This window comes from Homo sapiens, chromosome 10 (assembly GCF_000001405.40).
Source record: "Homo sapiens chromosome 10, GRCh38.p14 Primary Assembly".
NCBI lineage: Eukaryota > Metazoa > Chordata > Mammalia > Primates > Hominidae > Homo > Homo sapiens.
This window is the reverse complement of record NC_000010.11, coordinates 112,235,419-112,254,474: the sequence shown is the minus strand read 5'-3', so window position 1 is coordinate 112,254,474 and position 19,056 is coordinate 112,235,419. Positions and strand designations below refer to the sequence as shown.

At 43.7% G+C, this 19,056-nt stretch overlaps 1 annotated feature.

Moving 5' to 3' along the window:
* Positions 13,855–14,355: an enhancer, noted in NCBI's record as "H3K4me1 hESC enhancer chr10:113999878-114000378 (GRCh37/hg19 assembly coordinates)". NCBI's record gives its function as "activates a minimal SCP1, AML or CMV promoter by ChIP-STARR-seq in naive H9 embryonic stem cells {active_cell/tissue: H9 hESC(naive)}" and the evidence as "EXISTENCE:reporter gene assay evidence [ECO:0000049][PMID:30033119]".

Here is a 19,056-nt window from a genome sequence, read left to right as displayed (position 1 = left end):
CCTTGTACCTCTGGTAGAATTCAGCTGTGAATCCATCTGGTCCTGGACATTTTTTGGTTGGTAAGCTATTGATTATTGCCACAATTTCAGATCCTGTTATTGGTCTATTCAGAGATTCAACTTCTTCCTGGTTTAGTCTTGGGAGGGTGTATGTGTCGATGAATTTATCCATTTCTTCTAGATTTTCTAGTTTATTTGCGTAGAGGTGTTTGTAGTATTCTCTGATGGTAGTTTGTATTTCTGTGGGATCGGTGGTGATATCCCCTTTATCATTTTTTATTGTGTCTATTTGATTCTTCTCTCTTTTCTTCTTTATTAGTCTTGCTAGCGGTCTATCAATTTTGTTGATCTTTTCAAAAAACCAGCTCCTGGATTCATTAATTTTTTGAAAGGTTTTTTGTGTCTCTATTTCCTTCAGTTCTGCTCTGATTTTAGTTATTTCTTGCCTTCTGCTAGCTTTTGAACGTGTTTGCTCTTGCTTTTCTAGTTCTTTTAATTGTGATGTTAGGGTGTCAATTTTGGATCTTTCCTGCTTTCTCTTGTGGGCATTTAGTGCTATAAATTTCCCTCTACACACTGCTTTAAATGCGTCCCAGAGATTCTGGTATGTTGTGTCTTTGTTTTCATTGGTTTCAAAGAACATCTTTATTTCTGCCTTCATTTCGTTATGTACCCAGTAGTCATTCAGGAGCAGGTTGTTCAGTTTCCATGTAGTTGAGAAGTTTTTAGTGAGTTTCTTAATCCTGAGTTCTAGTTTGATTGCACTGTGGTCTGAGAGACAGTTTGTTATAATTTCTATTCTTTTACATTTGCTGAGGAGTGCTTTACTTCCAACTATGTGGTAAATTTTGGAATAGGTGTGGTGTGGTGCTGAAAAGAATGTATATTCTGTTGATTTGGGGTGGAGAGTTCTGTAGATGTCTATTAGTTCTGCTTGGTGCAGAGCTGAGTTCAATTCCTGGGTATCCTTGTTAACTTTCTGTCTCATTGATCTGTCTAATGTTGACAGTGGGGTGTTAAAGTCTCCCATTATTATTGTGTGGGAGTCTAAGTCTGTTTGTAGGTCACTAAGGACTTGCTTTATGAATCTGGGTGCTCCTGTATTGGGTGCATATATATTTAAGATAGTTAGCTCTTCTTGTTGAATTGATCCCTTTACCATTATGCAATGGCCTTCTTTGTCTCTTTTGATCTTTGTTGGTTTAAAGTCTGTTTTATCAGAGACTAGGATTGTAACCCCTGCCTTTTTTTGTTTTTCATTTGCTTGGTAGATCTTCCTCCATCCCTTTGTTTTGAGTCTATGTGTGTCTGTGCATGTGAGATGGGTTTCCTGAATACAGCACACTGATGGGTCTTGACTCTTTATCCAATTTGCCAGTCTGTGTCTTTTAATTGGAGCATTTAGCCCATTTACATTTAAGGTTAGTATTGTTATGTGTGAATTTGATCCTGTCATATGATATTAGCTGGTTATTTTGCTCGTTAATTGATGTAGTTTCTTCCTAGCCTTGATGGTCTTTACAATTTGGCATGATTTTGCAGTGGCTGGTAGCGGTTGTTCCTTTCCATGTTTAGCGCTTCCTTCAGGAGCTCTTTTAGGGCAGGCCTAGTGGTGACAAAATCTCTCAGCATTTGCTTGTCTGTAAAGTATTTTATTTCTCCTTCACTTATGAAGCTTAGTTTGGCTGGATATGAAATTCTGGGTTGAAAATTCTTTCCTTTAAGAATGTTGAATATTGGCCCCCACTCTCTTTTGGCTTGTAGAGTTTCTGCCGAGAGATCACCTGTTGTTAGTCTGATGGGTTTCCCTTTGTGGGTAACCTGACCTTTCTCTCTGGCTGCCCTTAACATTTTTTCCTTCATTTCAACTTTGGTGAATGTGACAATTATGTGTCTTGGAGTTGCTCTTCTCGAGGAGTATCTTTGTGGCATTCTCTGTATTTCTTGAATCTGAATGTTGGCCTGCCTTGCTAGATTGGGGAAGTTCTCCTGCATAATATCCTGCAGAGTGTTTTCCAACTTGGTTCCATTCTCCCCGTCACTTTCAGGTACACCAATCAGACATAGATTTGGTCTTTTCATATAGTCCCATATTTCTTGGAGGCTTTGTTTCTTTTTATTCTTTTTTCTCTAAACTTCCCTTCTTGCTTCATTTCATTCATTTTGTCTTCCATCACTGATACCCTTTCTTCCAGTTGATCGCATCGGCTCCTGAGGCTTCTGCATTCTTCACGTAGTTCTCGAGCCTTGGCTTTCAGCTCCATCAGCTCCTTTAAGGACTTCTCTGCATTGGTTATTCTAGTTATCCATTCGTCTAATTTTTTTTCAAGGTTTCTAACTTCTTTGCCATTGGTTTGAATTTCCTCCTGTAGCTCGGAGTTGTTTGATCGTCTGAAGCCTTCTTTTCTCAACTTGTCAAAGTCCTTCTCCGTCCAGCTTTGTTCCGTTGCTGGTGAGGAGCTGTGTTCCTTTAGAGGAGGAGAGGTGCTCTGCTTTTTAGAGTTTCCAGTTTTTCTGCTCTGTTTTTTTCCCCATCTTTGTGGTTTTATCTACTTTTGGTCGTTGATGATGGTGACGTAAAGATAGGTTTTGGCATGGATGTCCTTTCTGTTTGTTAGTTTTCCTTCTACCAGACAGGACCCTCAGCTGCAGATCTGTTGGAGTTTGCAAGAGGTCCGCTCCAGACCCTTTTTGCCTGGGTGTCAGCAGTGGTGGCTGCAGAACAGCGGTGGCTGTAGAACAGCGGATTTTGGTGACCCGCAGATGCTGCTGCCTGATCGTTCCTCTGGAAGTTTTATCTCAGAGAAGTACCCGGCCGTGTGAGGTGTCAGTGTGCCCCTACTGGGGGGTGCCACCCAGTTAGGCTGCTCGGGGGTCAGGGACCCACTTGAGGAGGCAGTCTGCCCATTCTCAGATCTCCAGCTGTGTGCTGGGAGAACCACTACTCTCTTCAAAGCTGTCAGACAGGGACATTTAAGTCTGCAGAGGTTACTGCTGTCTGTTTGTCTGTGCCCCGCCCCTAGAGGTGGAGCCTACATAGGCAGGCAGGCCTCCTTGAGCTACGTGGTGGGCTCCACCCAGTTCTAGCTTCCGGGCTGCTTTGTTTACCTAATCAAGCCTGGGCAATGGCAGGCGTCCCTCCCCCAGCCTCACTGCCACCTTGCAGTTTGATCTCAGACTGCTGTGCTAGCAATCAGTGAGACTCCGTGGGCGTAGGACCCTCCGAGCCAGGTGCGGGATATAATCTCCTGGTGTGCCGTTTTTTAAGCCCGTTGGAAAAGCGCAGTATTAGTGTGAGAGTGACCCTATTTTCCAGGTGCCATCTGTCACCCCTTTCTTTGACTAGGAAAGGGAACTCCCTGACCCCTTGTGCTTCCCGAGTGAGGCAGTGCCTCGCCCTGCTTCAGCTCGTGCACGGTGCGCTGCACCCACTGTCCTGCGCCCACTGTCTGGCACTCCCTAGTGAGATGAACCTGGTACCTCAGATGGAAATGCGGAAATCACCCGTCTTCTGTGTCGCTCACACTGGGAGCTGTAGACCAGAGCTGTTCCTATTCGGCCATCTTGGCTCCACCCCCTGTTATAAGATTAAAGTTCCCCTCAACTGTTCTATAGATAACAACTTTAACATTATGAGATGTTAAGTTTTCCCTTTGAGATATTCCTTTCAAGTCCTGCATACCAGTGAAACTACTGACATCATCTGGTCTGAAGAACCTCACAGGAACTGACTCACCAAAAAATAGTTTCCTGATGATTTCATCCCTCTTACCCCAATAAATCAATGATCCCAACTCTCCAGCCCTTTCCACTCCACAATCCCCCCGCTTTTTTTTTTTTTTGCAGTTTTTTTTTTTTTTTAATTATACTTTAAGTTTTAGGGTACATGTGCACAATGTGCAGGTTAGTTACATATGTATACATGTGCCATGCTGGTGTGCTGCACCCATTAACTCGTCATTTAGTATTAGGTATATCTCCTAATGCTATCCCTCTCCCCTCCCGCCACCCCACAACAGTCCCCAGAGTGTGATGTTCCCCTTCCTGTGTTCATGTGTTCTCATTGTTCAATTCCCATCTATGAGTGAGAACATGCAGTGTTTGGTTTTTTGTCCTTGCGATAGTTTACTGAGAATGATGATTTCCAATTTCATCCATGTCCCTACAAAGGACATGAACTCATCATTTTTTATGGCTGCATAGTATTCCTTGGTGTATATGTGCCACATTTTCTTAATCCAGTCTATCATTATTGGACATTTGGGTTGGTTCCAAGTCTTTGCTATTGTGAATAGTGCCGCAATAAACATACGTGTGCATGTGTCTTTATAGCAGCATGATTTATAGTCCTTTGGGTATATACCCAGGAACAGGATGGCTGGGTCAAATGGTATTTCTAGTTCTAGATCCCTGAGGAATCACCACACTGACTTCCACACAATCCCCTTAAAAGCACCAGTCAAGAACTTCTTGGGGAGATGAATTTGAAGATCGCTTTCCATCTCCTTGCTTGGTGCTCTGTAATCATTAAACTCTTTCTCTGTTGCAAACCCTGCTGTCTCTGTGTAATTGGTATTTTACTACACAGTGGGCATATAAACATATTGGTCCTATAACAGGATCTATTTTATTAGACCTATTTGTGCTTGTTGGGAGATGGTGCCACATAAATCAAAAGAGATGGTGTATTAGTCTGTTCTCATGTTGCTAATAAAGACATACCCGGGATTGGGAAATTTATAAAGGAAAGAGGTTTAATTGGCTCACAGTTCAGCATGGCTGAGGAGACCTCAGGAAACTTACAATCATGGTGGAAGGGGAAGGAAACACATCCTTCTTCTCATGGTGGCAGCAAGGAGAAGTGCTGAGTAAAAGGGGAGAAAGCCCCTTATTAAACCATCAGATCATGTGAGAACTCACTCAGTATCATGAGAACAGCATGAGGGTAACCACCCCCATCATTAAATTACCTCCCACCAGGTCCCTCCCATGACACGTGGGGATTATGGGAACTACAATTCAAGATGAGATTTGGGTGGGGACACAGTCAAACCATACCAGGTGTGTTGGGACAAGTATAGAATGTCTTGAGAATCTTCTGCAGTAAAAAGACCACTGAACTTGGTATCAGAAGACTGGGGCTCAGCTCCCTGCTCCACCTCTGGTTGTGTGGCCTTGGAAAACCTATCTAACCATTTTATGGCTTCAAGCTGATGCTCAATGAAGTTTTCACCTTGACAATAATCAGCAGTTTCTGTGGGCTATGGACCCTGGGGCCTGTGGGTTTCTTGGGGTAAGTCAATGAATCTATGTGTACAGAAATGGCACAACAGCTCTCAATATGTGCTATTTTTCAAGTATATGGAGATTCTGTAGTGATGACTAAGAAACACCATTCATTTAAAAGTGTTACTGATCTCATAGTACCTATTTGTCAGTCCACATACTCTGCAAATGGAAAACTACTAACATATGCAGAGTCAGTGAATTTATTTTTAAAATAGGGCTTGGAACTATTTGGATGGATGGATTCTCCCAGCAATAAGATTTCTTTTGAATTGAAAAAGAAGGGGGACACCAGTGTTTTTCAGAAGGGGAGAGGCCTGGGTGGAGCTGTCTTCTGAGAAGGCCATTCTAGCAGTAGTGTGAGCCGTGGACTGAGCAATGCTTCTCAGCCTTGCAGGCTCATTGGAATCCCATGGATCATACTGGTACCTCTGTCTGTGGCCACACATTCTGATGTAATTGGTCTGTGGTGGGCGTGGGGACATCAAATCTCCCTAAATGATTTTAATGTCCAGCAAAGTTAGAGAACCACTGGTGTAAGGTGTCATTATGCTCATCAAGAAGCTGAGTGGGACCACATGAGAAGTGCTGAGGCCCCAGTCTCACTAGGCAAGAGGCAATGAAAGGGATAGAAATGGAGAGAAGGGGACAGTGGAGGCTCTGCAGAAATGAAATCAGTAGTACCTAGAAAATGATTGCATTGGGCCCAGGATGGTGGCTCACACCTGTAATCCCAGCACTTCGGGAGGACGAGGCAGGCTGATTGCTTGAGGTCAGGAGTTCAAGACAAGCCTGGCCAACATGGTGAAACCCCGTCTCTACTAAAAATACAAAAATTAGCTGGGCGTGGTGGCAGTCTCCTGTAATCCTAGCTACTAGGGAGGCTGAGGCAGGAGAGTCACTTGACTCTGGGGGGGCAGAGGTTGCAGTGAGCTGAGATTGCACCACTGTACTCCAGCCAAGTCAAAGTTAACCTGAGGCTTCAATACTCATGTTAATAATAATTACTATAATACTATAGGAAGAGAAGACAAACCTTTAAAAAATGTTTATATGTGCCTTGTGCTGTGTTAGCACATCCACCCATCAAGTCCATTTCTCCTCACAGCAATGCTCTGAAGCAGGAGCTCTTTTTGTTCACTTTTTATAGATGAGGACATTTGAGGCAGCTGATAAGTGGCTGAGCCAGGAGCCAACTTCAGGTCTGAGTCACACTCTGGATTCTCCATCACCAGTCCACGTTGCCACATTGTCAGGCTTGGGGGACCTGGGCAATGTCTCTTTTACATGGAAAGAGGGGCCCAAGCTAGTAATAAGTCAGGCCAACGCTGTGGATCCTACTTCTAAGAAGACTCCTCACCCCTTCTGGGTAAGATCTCACTGCAGGTCAAATACATACCCAAATGGGGGTCAACTCTAGACCCTAAAAAGCATGATTGTTACTGTCTGGGAAACGTAAGATCTGACGACAAGGGGCAATACTTTCTCAACCTCAGTCACCTTCAGGTCTATGCTAAATCCTCTCACAACACCTCTTTAGGGCCTGCTTCTCCCTGGTCAAGAGATTTTTAATGTCACAGGTGATAAGATTAGAAGGACAATTTAGTAGGCCTGATGATTGGAAGAGATTATTTAAAATGTGTGTTGGTAAGAATAGAACATTTACATGTTATTAACATGCCCTTAAATTGGGACACTGCAATAATTGCTAGCCACTGGATTTTGCTACCTGAGGGAAGGGTTTAAATGATTAAAATTTTGAATTGTTGTATTGTTAGAGTGTGCATTTGAAATATATAAAAGGTATAGCCCAGAAACCAGCCCCAGGCCCTAAAGGATGAATGCCAATTAATTCACTTGGGTTTGAAAGATGCTACTTTGCCCTCATCTGTAGAATGATGATAATAATGACTAATCGTCATTGAGGTTATTATTTTTAGCAACAGAAATTGATCGTCTCACAGTTCTGGAAGCGAGAAGTCTGAGATCTAGGTGTCAGCTGAGCTGTATCCCCTTTGAAACCTGCAGGAGAATCTGACAGTGCCTCTTCTTAGCTTCTGGTAGTTTGTCTGGAGCCCTTGGCATTTCTTGGCTTATGGCTGCATCACTGCGATCTTGCCTTTGTCATCACATGGTGTTCTCACTGTGTTTCTCTGTCTTCACATGGCCGTCTTCTTATAAGGACACCAGCCATATGAGGTTAATGGCCCACTCTATTCCAGTATGACTTCATCTTAATGATTTTTGCAATGTCCTAACTTCCTAATAAGCTCACTTGATATCCTGAAGGTTAGGACTTCAATATATCTTTTTTCTCTTTTTTTTTTGGCAAGAGAGACACGATTCAATTAATAACATCTGCCTCACTTGACTATATTTCATTTCAGGGCTTTTTACAGTAAACTTTCTTTATTCCTACCCCCACTTTATTTTTGTTCAATGAGATCTTATCGATTAATTCTCACAATAATTCCATAAGGTAAGTCATTATTATTTTTTGTGTGTGTGAATGAGAAACCTGCTGGAGGTCATGCAGCTTATAGGATTCGGAGGTGGGATTTGAAGTCAAGCAGTTGACCCCTCTTCCTGTGTCCACTCATGGAGTTGTGAAGAAGAAAGGAGATAAGAATACATCTGAGGGCAGGCTGGGTGTGGTGGCTCACACCTGTAATCCTAGCACTTTGGGAGGCTAAGTCAGGCAGATCATGGGGTCAGGAGCTCAAGACCAGCCTGGCCAACTTAGTGAAACCCCATCTCTACTAAAAATACAAAAAATTACTGCTAAAAATACAAAAAATTAGCCAGGTGTGGTGGTGGGTGCCTGTAATCCCAGCTACTTGTGAGACTGAGGCAGGAGAATCGCTTGAACCTGGGAGGTGGAGGTTGCAGTGAGCTGAGATCACGCCACTGCACTCCAGCCCAGGTGACAGTGTGAGACTCCATCTCCAAAAAAAAAACACACTACATCTGAGAGTGATGACCTCAAAACCAATCACTTTTATTAAAATGAATTCATTATACCAACACTGAGCACCTGCTGTATACTATGCATGCTCCTGGCACTAGGGAGACAGGTGAGTCAAAGTAGACTTGACCATGAGTAAACCTTACAGTTCGTGGAAGACAGGCAGAAATCAATAACCGCACAAATGGGATATGTAAGTACACTTTAAGATTAGCACTCTAAAGAAAACTGACCCAGTTTTAAGAGCATTTAATTGGGAACTGGCCAAGACTGAAGGAGAGGGCTAACTACAAATAATATGACAATTATTATTAATGGGGGAATGGCTTGGATGGGCACTATATGTGTCTCACAAGTAATTGAATAAATAAGTAATCAAGTATTCTTTCCATATCATGGGATGTGTCCCATTAGTGAATTGTGAAATAAGTTAAATGATTGCAAGTGGCATTTAAAAACAGAATAGAACTAAACATCAGAGTGTATTGCCCATGAGAAAGGAGGTTTTTATGAAACTTTTAGTTATATATGTGTGTGTGTAATCTGAGCCCCTACATAAAACATATTTTGTAATGTGTCATCATCAAAATACAGAAATATTAGTTGAGCTTTGTGATCAGGTTGGTCTCCAAATTTGAATCCCTACCTTGTCATATTCTTCCAGAGCAACTTCAGGCAGCTTGTGTAATTTATTCAAGCTTTCTCCTCTGCTAAAACAGAAGAGCATCTCTCTTATGTTTTTAGGACCGACTGCAAGCAGAGAAGGAAGCAATGCACAGGCAATGTCTGAAACATGCTGTATTCGTTCGCCAGTGGTTTGGTCATGTTCACTGGGTACTTCTTTGGTGAGGTCAGCCCTTCCCCCACCCGCCTTCCTGACATGTGTCTCTTTTCTAGACAGTGAGGTTCGACCTCAGAGCGTTCTCAGAAACTGAGGGAACCTACTTAGCCCACCTGTAGGTGTTGCCCAGAGCTGGAGGCAGTTAATGTTCTTGGAGAGGGATAAATGCCTGTTCCAGGTCCTTCAGAAGACACTTCTGGCCTTGTGCAGTGGCTCACACCCGTAACCCTAGCATTTGGGAGGCCAAGGAAGGAGAATTTCTCGAGCCCAGGAGTTTGAGACTAGATGGGGCAATATGGCAAGACCTCATCTCTACAGAAAATTTCAAAATTAGGTAGGTATAGTGGTGTGTGCCCGTGGTCCCAGCTACTTTGGAGACTGAGGTAGGAGGATCACTTGAGCCTAGGAGGTCAAGGCTACAGTGAGCCCTATTCGCGTCACTGCCCTCCAGCCTGGATGATGGTATGAGACCCTGTCTCAAAAAAAAATAAATAAAAAACAGAAATAAATAAAAGACACTTCTGAGTTACATTCTACGTGGTGCCTCATACAGTCCCCAGAAGGTCTGGGCTCCATTTCCCAAGATGGGAATCAGCTTGATAATGTCCTAGTGACTGGTGCTTCCCCCTCCAGATCTCATTCTCTGTGGTCTCTCACTCCTGCTTCCTGAATCTTTTCGCAAAAGGTTACCTGCTTCCAAGGGTGTGCTTTAGGCTCTGTCTCTGGAGAATCAAAAGAAACCATGCCTGCAGCACTCAAGGAGGCTTAGGAAGACTTTTCTCAACAGCTCCAGGTTCAGGAAATTTCATCCAATCTGCTGACTCTCACTTCTCTAGACTAATGGAAACTGAAAAGGGTGGGGACAATAAAAGCCCCAGAAAATCCACACTATCTTTTTTTTTTTTTTTGGCAGCCTTCTCAATTTGAGCTTGAGCTTCTGAGCTCAGCCTGGGTCAGTTGATGCCTCACTTACTTTTGCGTTCTGGATGATTCACTAGCAGAAGTATTCATTATATTAAAACAAATATACTGATGGGGCATGGTGGCTCATGCTTGGAATCCCAGCACTTTGGGAGGCTAAGGCAGGAGGACTGCTTGAGGCCAGGAATTCTAGACCAGCCTGGGCAAGATAGTGAGACCCCATCTCTGCAGAAAAAAAAAGTTAAAAAAATCTAAATACACGGAAGTAATCCCGGTAGTCATGTAGTGAGCTACTATTGTATCTACTAATTTTTAAATGTCTGCATCTATTGATTTAATCTTAAAAATTTTAAATGTAATATTCTTTTTTAACAGCTTTATTGAGATACAATTCACATATCATTCAATTCACCCATTTGAAGTGTATAAGTAAGTGGATTTAGTAAATTTACAGAGTTGTGCAACCGTCAGCCCAATTATTTTTAGAACATTTCATCATCCTGAAAATAAACCCTGAACCTATTAGAAGTCACTCTTCACTTGCCCTCAACTTACGCCATCCTCTGGCAACTACCAATCTATTTTCTGTCTCTATCGATTTGCCTTTTCATAGAGATGGAATCATACAATATATAGTCTTTTGTTTCTGGCTTCTTTCACTTAGCGTAATGTTTTCAGGTTCAGTCATGTTGTAGTATGTATTCGTACTTCATTTGTTTTTATTGCTAAATATTTCATTGCGTGGATGTACCATGTATCTATTATTTCTGGATTGTTTTTCTGGTTCACTGTAGTGTCCCTAACTCCTACAACAACACCTGCCATAAATGCTGTTGAATAAATGCATATGTGAGTGAATGAACGATCAATAATAGCTATCATAACAGGAACGAATCTTTGTTCACAAACTAAGCTGTGAAAGAGGTGCAGGAGGGAGGTGGAGAAAGATGGCTGAAGAGAAATCTTCAGCAATTGTCCACCCACACAGGAACACCAAATTGAACAACTATCCACACAAAAAAACACCTTCATAAGAACCAAACATCAGGTGATTTTTCACAGTACCTGGTTTTAATATCATATTAAGGAAGGAGACACTATAGAGGGTAGGAAAGACAGCCTTGAATTGCCTGCACCACCTCTGCCCAATCTTCCAGCAGCCACCATGTGGTGCGGAGAGAGAATCTGTGTGCTTGTTGGAGGGAGAATGCAGTGATTGTGGAAATTTGCATTGAAACTCATTGCTGCCTTGTCATAGCAGAAAGAAACACCAGGCAGAACCCAACCAACACCCATGGAGAGAGCATTTAGACTAGTCCTAACCACAGGGAAATCATCCATTGCAGTGGCCAGAAGCTGAGTTCTGGCAAGCCCTGCCATCATGGGCTAAAGTGCTCTGGGCTTCTAAATAAAATTGAAAGGCAGTCTAGGCCACACGGACTATAATTCTTGGGCAAGCCCTAGTGCTGTGCTTGCCATGGAGACAGTGGACTTGGGGTGCATGGGACCTAGTGGGATATAAGCCGGGAGGCCAAGGGAGTGCTTGCATAACCCCTCTCCCAACCCCAGGCAGCACAGCTTGCAACTCTTGGAGGTACTTCTTCCTTCTGTTTGAGGAGAAGAGAGGGGAGAGTAAAGAGGACTTTGTCTTGCAACTTGGATACCAGCTTAGCCACAGCTCCTGGACAATATTTCTAAACATACCCTAGGCCAAAAGGGACTCCATTGCCTTGAAGGGAAAGGCCCAGTACTGACAGAATTCATCACTTGCTGACTAAGGAGCCCTTGGGCCCTTAATAATCAGTAGTAGTAGACAGGAAGTATTTGCCGTGGCCCTTGGGTGAGAATCAGAGTTGTGCTGGCTTCGGGTGTGACCCAGCACATCCCTAGCTGTGGTGGCTCTAGGGGGGAAGACCCCTTCTGCGTGAGGAAAGGAGAGGGAAGATTAAAGGGGACTTTGTCTTGCAACTTGGTTACCAGCTTGGCTATAGAGAAATAGAGCAGCAAGTGGGATCCTGGGATCCCCAATTCCAGGCTTTGGCTCCTGGATGGAATTTCTTGACCTGCCTTGGGCCAGAGGGGAGCCCACTGCCCTGAAGGGAGAGACTCAGGCCTGGCAGAATTCACCACAAGCTGACTGAAGAGCCCTTGGGCCTTGAGTGAAACCCAGTAGTAGCCAGGCAGTCCTCATCGTGGGCCTGGGGTGGTGCAGGCTGTGGCAGAGAGACTCCTCTGCTTGTGGAAGTGGGAGGAAAGAGCAGGAAGGACTATGTCATGTGGCTTGGTTGTCAGCTCAGCTGTAGTATAATAGAGAGCCAGGTAGATTCCTGAGATTCTTGACTCTATGCCCTAGCTCCCAGATGGCAACCCTGGACCCATCCAGTGCCAGGGGGATCTCATTGCCCTGAAGGAAAGGACACAAGGCTGGCTGGATTTGCTACCTGCTAATTGTAGAGCTCTAACACCTTGAGTGAACATAGGCACTTGTCAGGCAATGGTGACTGCAAGCCTTGAGTGAGACTCAGTCCTTGGCTTGGCTTTGGGTCTGGCCCAGCACAGTCCCAGTGGTGGTGGCCACAGGGGTTCTTCTCTAACCCCTTCCCCGGCTCCAGGCAGCTCAGCACAGAGTGAGAGAGAGACTCTGTTTGTTGGGGGAAGTAGGGAAGAGAATAAGAGTCTCTGCCTGTTAATCTAGGAAATTCTTCCAGATCTTACCCAAGACCACCAAGTCAGTATCTCTATGAATCTGCAAGAGTCACAGCATTACTGGGCTTGGAGCACCCCCTAAAGCAGATATGGCTGCAGTGACCAAAGACTTAGATCATAACACCCAAATCCCTTCAAATACCTGGAAAGCCTTCCCAAGAAGTATGGGTACAAACAATCCCAGACTATGAAGAACATAATAAATACTTACATATTCAGTGCCCACACACCAATGAACATCAACAGGCATCAAGACCATCCAGGAAAACATGACCTCACCACAGGAACTATTAATAAATAAGGCACCCGTGACCAATTCTGGAGAGACAGAGATATGTGGCCTTTTAGGCATAGAGTTCAAAATGGCTGTTTTGAGGAGGCTCAATGAAATCCAATTTAACACAGAGAAGGAGTTCAGAATCCCATCAGATAAGTCTAACAAATAAGTTGAAATAGTTAAAGAATAAAGCAGAAATCTGGAGCCGAAAATACAATTTACGTACTGAAGAATGCATCAGAGTCTCTTAACAGAAGAATTAGTCAAGCAGAAGAAAGAATGAGTAAACTTGAGGACAGGCTATTTGAAAATACACAGTTAGAAGAGACCAAAAAAAAAAATGAAGCATGCCTACAAGATCTAGAAAATAACCTCAAAAGGGCAAATCTAAGAGTTATTGATCTTAAAGAGAAGGTAGGGAGACAGAAAAAGGTAGGAAGTTTATTCAAAGGAATAATAATGATGGCAGCAGTGGCCAGTCTGGAGCAGCTGTTATGAAGACACCACTTGCAGCAGGGGAGGTGCAGCGGGGTTGTGCATTCTGTGGCGCTGGTGGGAGCTGGGAACAGGTGAGAGCCTTGTCCCCTACTGAATTGGTGGAGCAGGAGCCCATGCTCCTGGGCACCGCTGCTGCCGCCCAGCCCTGGCTCCCGACCTGAGCATCCCTGCGCTCTTGTGGGCTCTTTCCCCACAGGCTCGGAAGTGTCTGCTCCTGCTCCCTGGCCTCTCTCCACTCCTGGCTCCCACTCCAGAGCAGAGCAAAGCTGTGGCTGAGCCCAGGTACTGTCGTGACTCAGCCAGGTGTGCGTGCACTTGGGGCGGCACCGACACGCCAACCCCCTGCCGCCTCAGCCCCCACTGGACTCTGGGTGGCGATGAACATGGGAAGGAGGCTGGTGGGGGGTGCTGCAGGCAGCTTGGCGTGGGCCTGCAGGAACCCCTTGACACAAACAGCCTGGGCCCTGTGGATGGAATGTTGATGGCGGCAGGAGGCAGACAGGCTCCTGGGCAGAAAGGGGCGGGTCCCTGGTGAAACTCCACCTTCAAGCCAGGGACCACCTGAAGCCTGGGGTCTGGGCTGCCAGCTCCAGATGGAGTCCGTGGCCCAGAGTGAGAACTTACAATGCTTTTTCCAGGCCTATTCATGGCTGCCCATGGACCAATCAGCATGCACTTTCTCCCTTCTGAGCCCATAAAAACCCAAGACTCAGCCAGACTCACACAGATGGCTGACTACCCACTGTGGAAAGGAGCTACCTATGTTGGATCTCCTCAGCTTGTAGGGACAGCCTGCCTGTGGAAATGTGCTACCCACTCCTGGTCTCCTCTCTGCTGAGAGCTAGACACTCATTGGGATGATCTGCCTGTGGGTAGGAGCTACACACTCTGGATCTCCTCTCCGCTGAGAGCTGGACACTCCTCTGGATGACCTGGCTGTGGAAAGGAGCTACCCATTTTGGGTCTCCTGAGAGCTGTTCTGTCACTCAATGAAGCTCCTCTCCACCTTGCTCACCCTCCAGTTGTCTATGTACTCCATTCTCCCTGGATGCAGGATAAGAACTTGGGACCTACTGGATGGCAGGACTGAAAGAGCTGTAACACAAACACGTCAAATACATGCCCCCTGCTTGCCATGTTGGGGTCAACAAGGAGGAGAGAAGAGAGGACAGAAGAGGTGTAGCCCTTTGGGGAGCCTAGACTTAGGAGCTCCTCGAGCCAGGGCTGTGACACCCTCTTTGGGGCTCTGCAGTTCTTGGCATCTCCAAGCTTCTGAGTGCCACCACATTTCCCAGTGCCCACATTGGAAGCTGCTTGTGGTACGCCTGGTCCAGCCGCAGCCTTGGAGGGAGCCAGTGCCTGTGCTGGCTCCTGGAGCTACCTACCCTGCCACAGCTGGCATGCCTGTCTGTGCACAGTGGCCAAACTCCGCACTCACTCACACACTCCTCACCGCTCCATGCTTGGCTTGCCCTTGGCAGGTGTGGGATCTGGGCTGATAGTGTGACCCAAGCACAGCCTGCTGGGCTGAGTGGGTGGAATGAGCCCAGTGGGCCCGAGCAAAACTCAGGCAAAAGCACCACCAACCACAGAGGTTTTGAGCTGGAAAAGTGACACCCTAAGGATCCTGTGACAATAACAGAGAACATCCCAAACCTAGGGGAAAATATCAATATTCAAGTACAAGAAAATTGTAGAATACCAAGGAGATTTAACCCAAATAAGACTACCTCAAGACATTTAATAATTAAACTCCCAAAGGACAAGGATAAAAAGGGACCCTAAAAGCAGCAAGAGAAAAGATACAAATAACATATAATGGAGCTCCAATATATCTGGCAGCAGACTTCTCAGTGAAAACCTTATGGGCCAGGAGAGAGTGGCATGACATATTTAAAGTGCTGAATGAGAAAAACTTGTATTCTAGAAAACTTTTATCTTTAGGATAAACTTTTACTTTGTTCCAACAAAAGAATCCTTCAGACATGAAGGAGAAATACAGACTTTCCAAGACGAACAAAAGCTGAGGGATTTCAACACCAGACCTGTCCTACAAGAAATGCTAAAGAGAGTTCTTCAATCTGAAAGAAGAAAGATATTAATGAGCAATAAGAAATCATCTGAAGTAAAAAACTCACTGGTAATAGTACCTACACAGAAAAGCACAATATTATCACACTGTAATTGTGGTGTGTAAACTACTTATATCTTGAGGATGTTTATGGATTGGAGGAATCGATATTGTTAAAATGTCTATACTACCCAAAACATCTACAGGTTCAATGCAATCCCTATCAAAATACTAATGAAATTCTTCACAGAAATAGAAAAACAACCCTGAAATTTATATGGAACCACAAAAGACCCAGAATAACTAAAGCTATCCTGATCAAAAGGAACAAAACTGGAGGAATCACATTATCTGACTTTCAAATTATACTACAGAGCTATAGTAACCAAAACAGCATGGTACTGGCATAAAAACAGACACACAGACCAATGGAATAGAACAGAGAATCCAGAAATAAATCCATGCATCTACAGTAAACTCATTTTCAACAAAGATGCCAAAAACATACATTGGAGAAAGGACAGTCTCATCAATAAATGTTACTAGAAAAACTGGGTATCCATGTGCAGAAGGATGAAACTAGACCCCTCTCTCTCACCATATACAAAAATCAAAGAAAATGGATTAAAGGCTTAAATTGAATGCATCAAGCTATGAAACTACTAAAAGCAAACACTAGAGACACTTTCCAGGACATTGGACTGGGCAAAGATTTCTTGAGTAATGTCCCTCAAGCATAGACAAGCAAAGCAAAAATGGACAAATGGGATCACATCAAGTTAAAAAGCTTTTGCACAGCAAATGAAACAGTGAACAAGGTAAAGAGACAATCCACAGAATGGGAGAAGACATTTGCAAGCTATCAATCTGACAAGAGATTAATAACCAGAATATATAAGGAGCTCAAACAACACAACAGGAAAAAAATCTAATAATCTGATTAAAAAATACGCAAAAGATCTGAATAGACATTTCTCAAAAGAAGACATATCAACAATAAACAGGTTCATGAAAAGATGCTCAGCATCATTGATCATGACAGAAATGCAAACCAAAACTATAATGAAATGTCATCTTACCCCAGTTATAATGGCTTTTTCCAAAAGACAGGCAGTAAGAAATTCTGGTGAGGATGTGGAGGAAAGAGAATCCTTGTACACTGTTGGTGTGAATGTAAACTAGGACAACTACTATGGAGAAGAGTTTGGAAGTTCCTAAAAAAAAAACTAAAATTGGAACTACCAAATGATCCAGCAATCCCACTGCTAGGTATAAACCCAAAAGAAAGGAAATTAGTATGTTGAAGAGATATCTGCACTCCCATGTTTATTGTAGCACTATTCACAAAAGTCAAGATTTGGAAGTAACTTAAGTGTCCGTCAACATATGAATGGATAAAGAAAATGTGGTACATATACACAGTGGAGTACTATTCAGCCATTAAAAAGAATGAGATCCTGTCATTTGCAACAACATGGATGGAACTGGTGTTTATTATGTTAAGTGAAATAAGCCAGGTGCAGAAAGATAAACATTGCATGTTCTCACTTGTTTGTGGAAGCTAACAAAAATTAAAACAATTGGACTCATGAAGATAAAGAGTAGAATGATGGTTACCAGAGGCAGGAAAGGGTGTGTGTGTGTTGGGGGGAAGTAGGGATGTTAATGGGTATGAAAATGTAGTTAGATAGAATAAATAATATCTAGTGTTTGATAACACAACAGGGTGACCATAGTCAACAATAATTTATTGTACATTTAAAAAATAACTAGAAGAGTATAATTGGATTATTTGTAACAAAAAAGAAAGGATAAATGAGGTGATGTGATTTACCCTGATGGGATTATTACCTATTATATATGCCTATATCAAAATATTTCATGAATTCCATAAATATATACACTTAATATGTACCCACAAAAATTAAAAAGAATAAAAGAATAAAAAGAGGTATAAATAAGTTAACTTCCTATTTTGAACCCTACCATGCTCAATTCAGTGCTTCCCAGCCTTTTTTGCTTAAGACTGTATGTGTCTCCAGGGTCATAATGTACGCACACTGATAGCCTCTGAGATAACCCCACTCCCAGCAGTTGCAGGTTTGGGAGGACCATCAGGCAGGATGCAGCTGGGTTGTCCCATTTCACAGCCACTGGCTCAAGAATTCTCCTTGAAGCTTCCATGCCCTCTGGGTACACAGGGCTCTCTCCCTGAGGGACACTTGTACAGCTGCCCAAGATCTTCTTTGCTTTGGTGTGTATGACACAGCCTGTGACTCCTTCTCCTCTGGGACCTTGCCACCTTGCCAGGTGTTGTCAGCTGAGCCAAGACAATTGGATTGTTCACAGTTCTTTAGTTCTTCAGTAGATACGGGCGGGATCTACAGGTAAGATCACAGAGAAAACAAGTCTCAGTTGGAATTCCACCACATGTGCCTTTGCTTATTAGCAAAAAGACATGCAAACATATAATTATGTAAGCTTGATGAAGACTCAGCTCTCTATCCTTTGAGGTCTTCCCTTAGCATCTTGCATAAAAGCTTCTCTTTAGATGAATGTAACAATATTTTAGCAGTAGGAATCAGATAACCTATCCGGAATCAGACAATAAAACCTTCCCGTGAACGAGTCTTAATAAGCCCAGGGTGGCTTTCCAGAGAGTACAGGCTATTGCATGGGACAGGCCCAGTGAGCTCCTGTTGTCTTGCAGAATTAGGCTATGTTCTCACATTCTGTTAATGCAAGAGTAGGAGTGCCTGAACATGTCTAGCAATCTGCATGTGTTCATCATTTCATTCCACCAAGGAAAAATTCTTTCTAACATTCATCATAACTGTTTATAAAGTCTCTGACCGAAGGGCTGGTTGTAACCTCTATTTTTTATTAGATCATTTCAAATGCTAACCAGTGCCTGAAGTGTGTATTCCTGATGAGTGTACTTCAAATGTTAACTAATCACATCTAGGTGAGTTACTACTCCTTGTTTTACCCTAGGGCATAGGTTAAAACAAACACATAAACATCCTACGATCTAAGCTGAAATATCTTGAAGTATATCACAGACCTTGTAACACAGGGCCTCTATCTATAAACTGAGGCCCAGTAGGGTGAGTATATAATTTGTCATCCAAACCAGGGTTGTGTTACAAGATGAAAGAGGGTCTTAAATAATTCTGCAAGACAATAGGAGCACTCTGGGCCTGTCCCATGCAAAGAGGGATATGTGATCCACTCTCAGATCCTACGATTATGTGGGGGTTGGGCTATTCCTTGGGCTTTGGCCCTAGAGAGATAGATGAGCGTGCAGGGATCCGCATCTGTAAACATCCCCAATCCTCCTGACGCTACTTCTCCTCCTGTCCTTGAGTAGCTTTGAATAACTCAAACAAGGTGGAATCTGGCATGTTCAGATTCTGAAAACACAACATGTGTACAGCACCTCCCTCCTGGGAGCGAGTGTGGGGTGAGGTAGCAGCTGGATCTCATCTTTC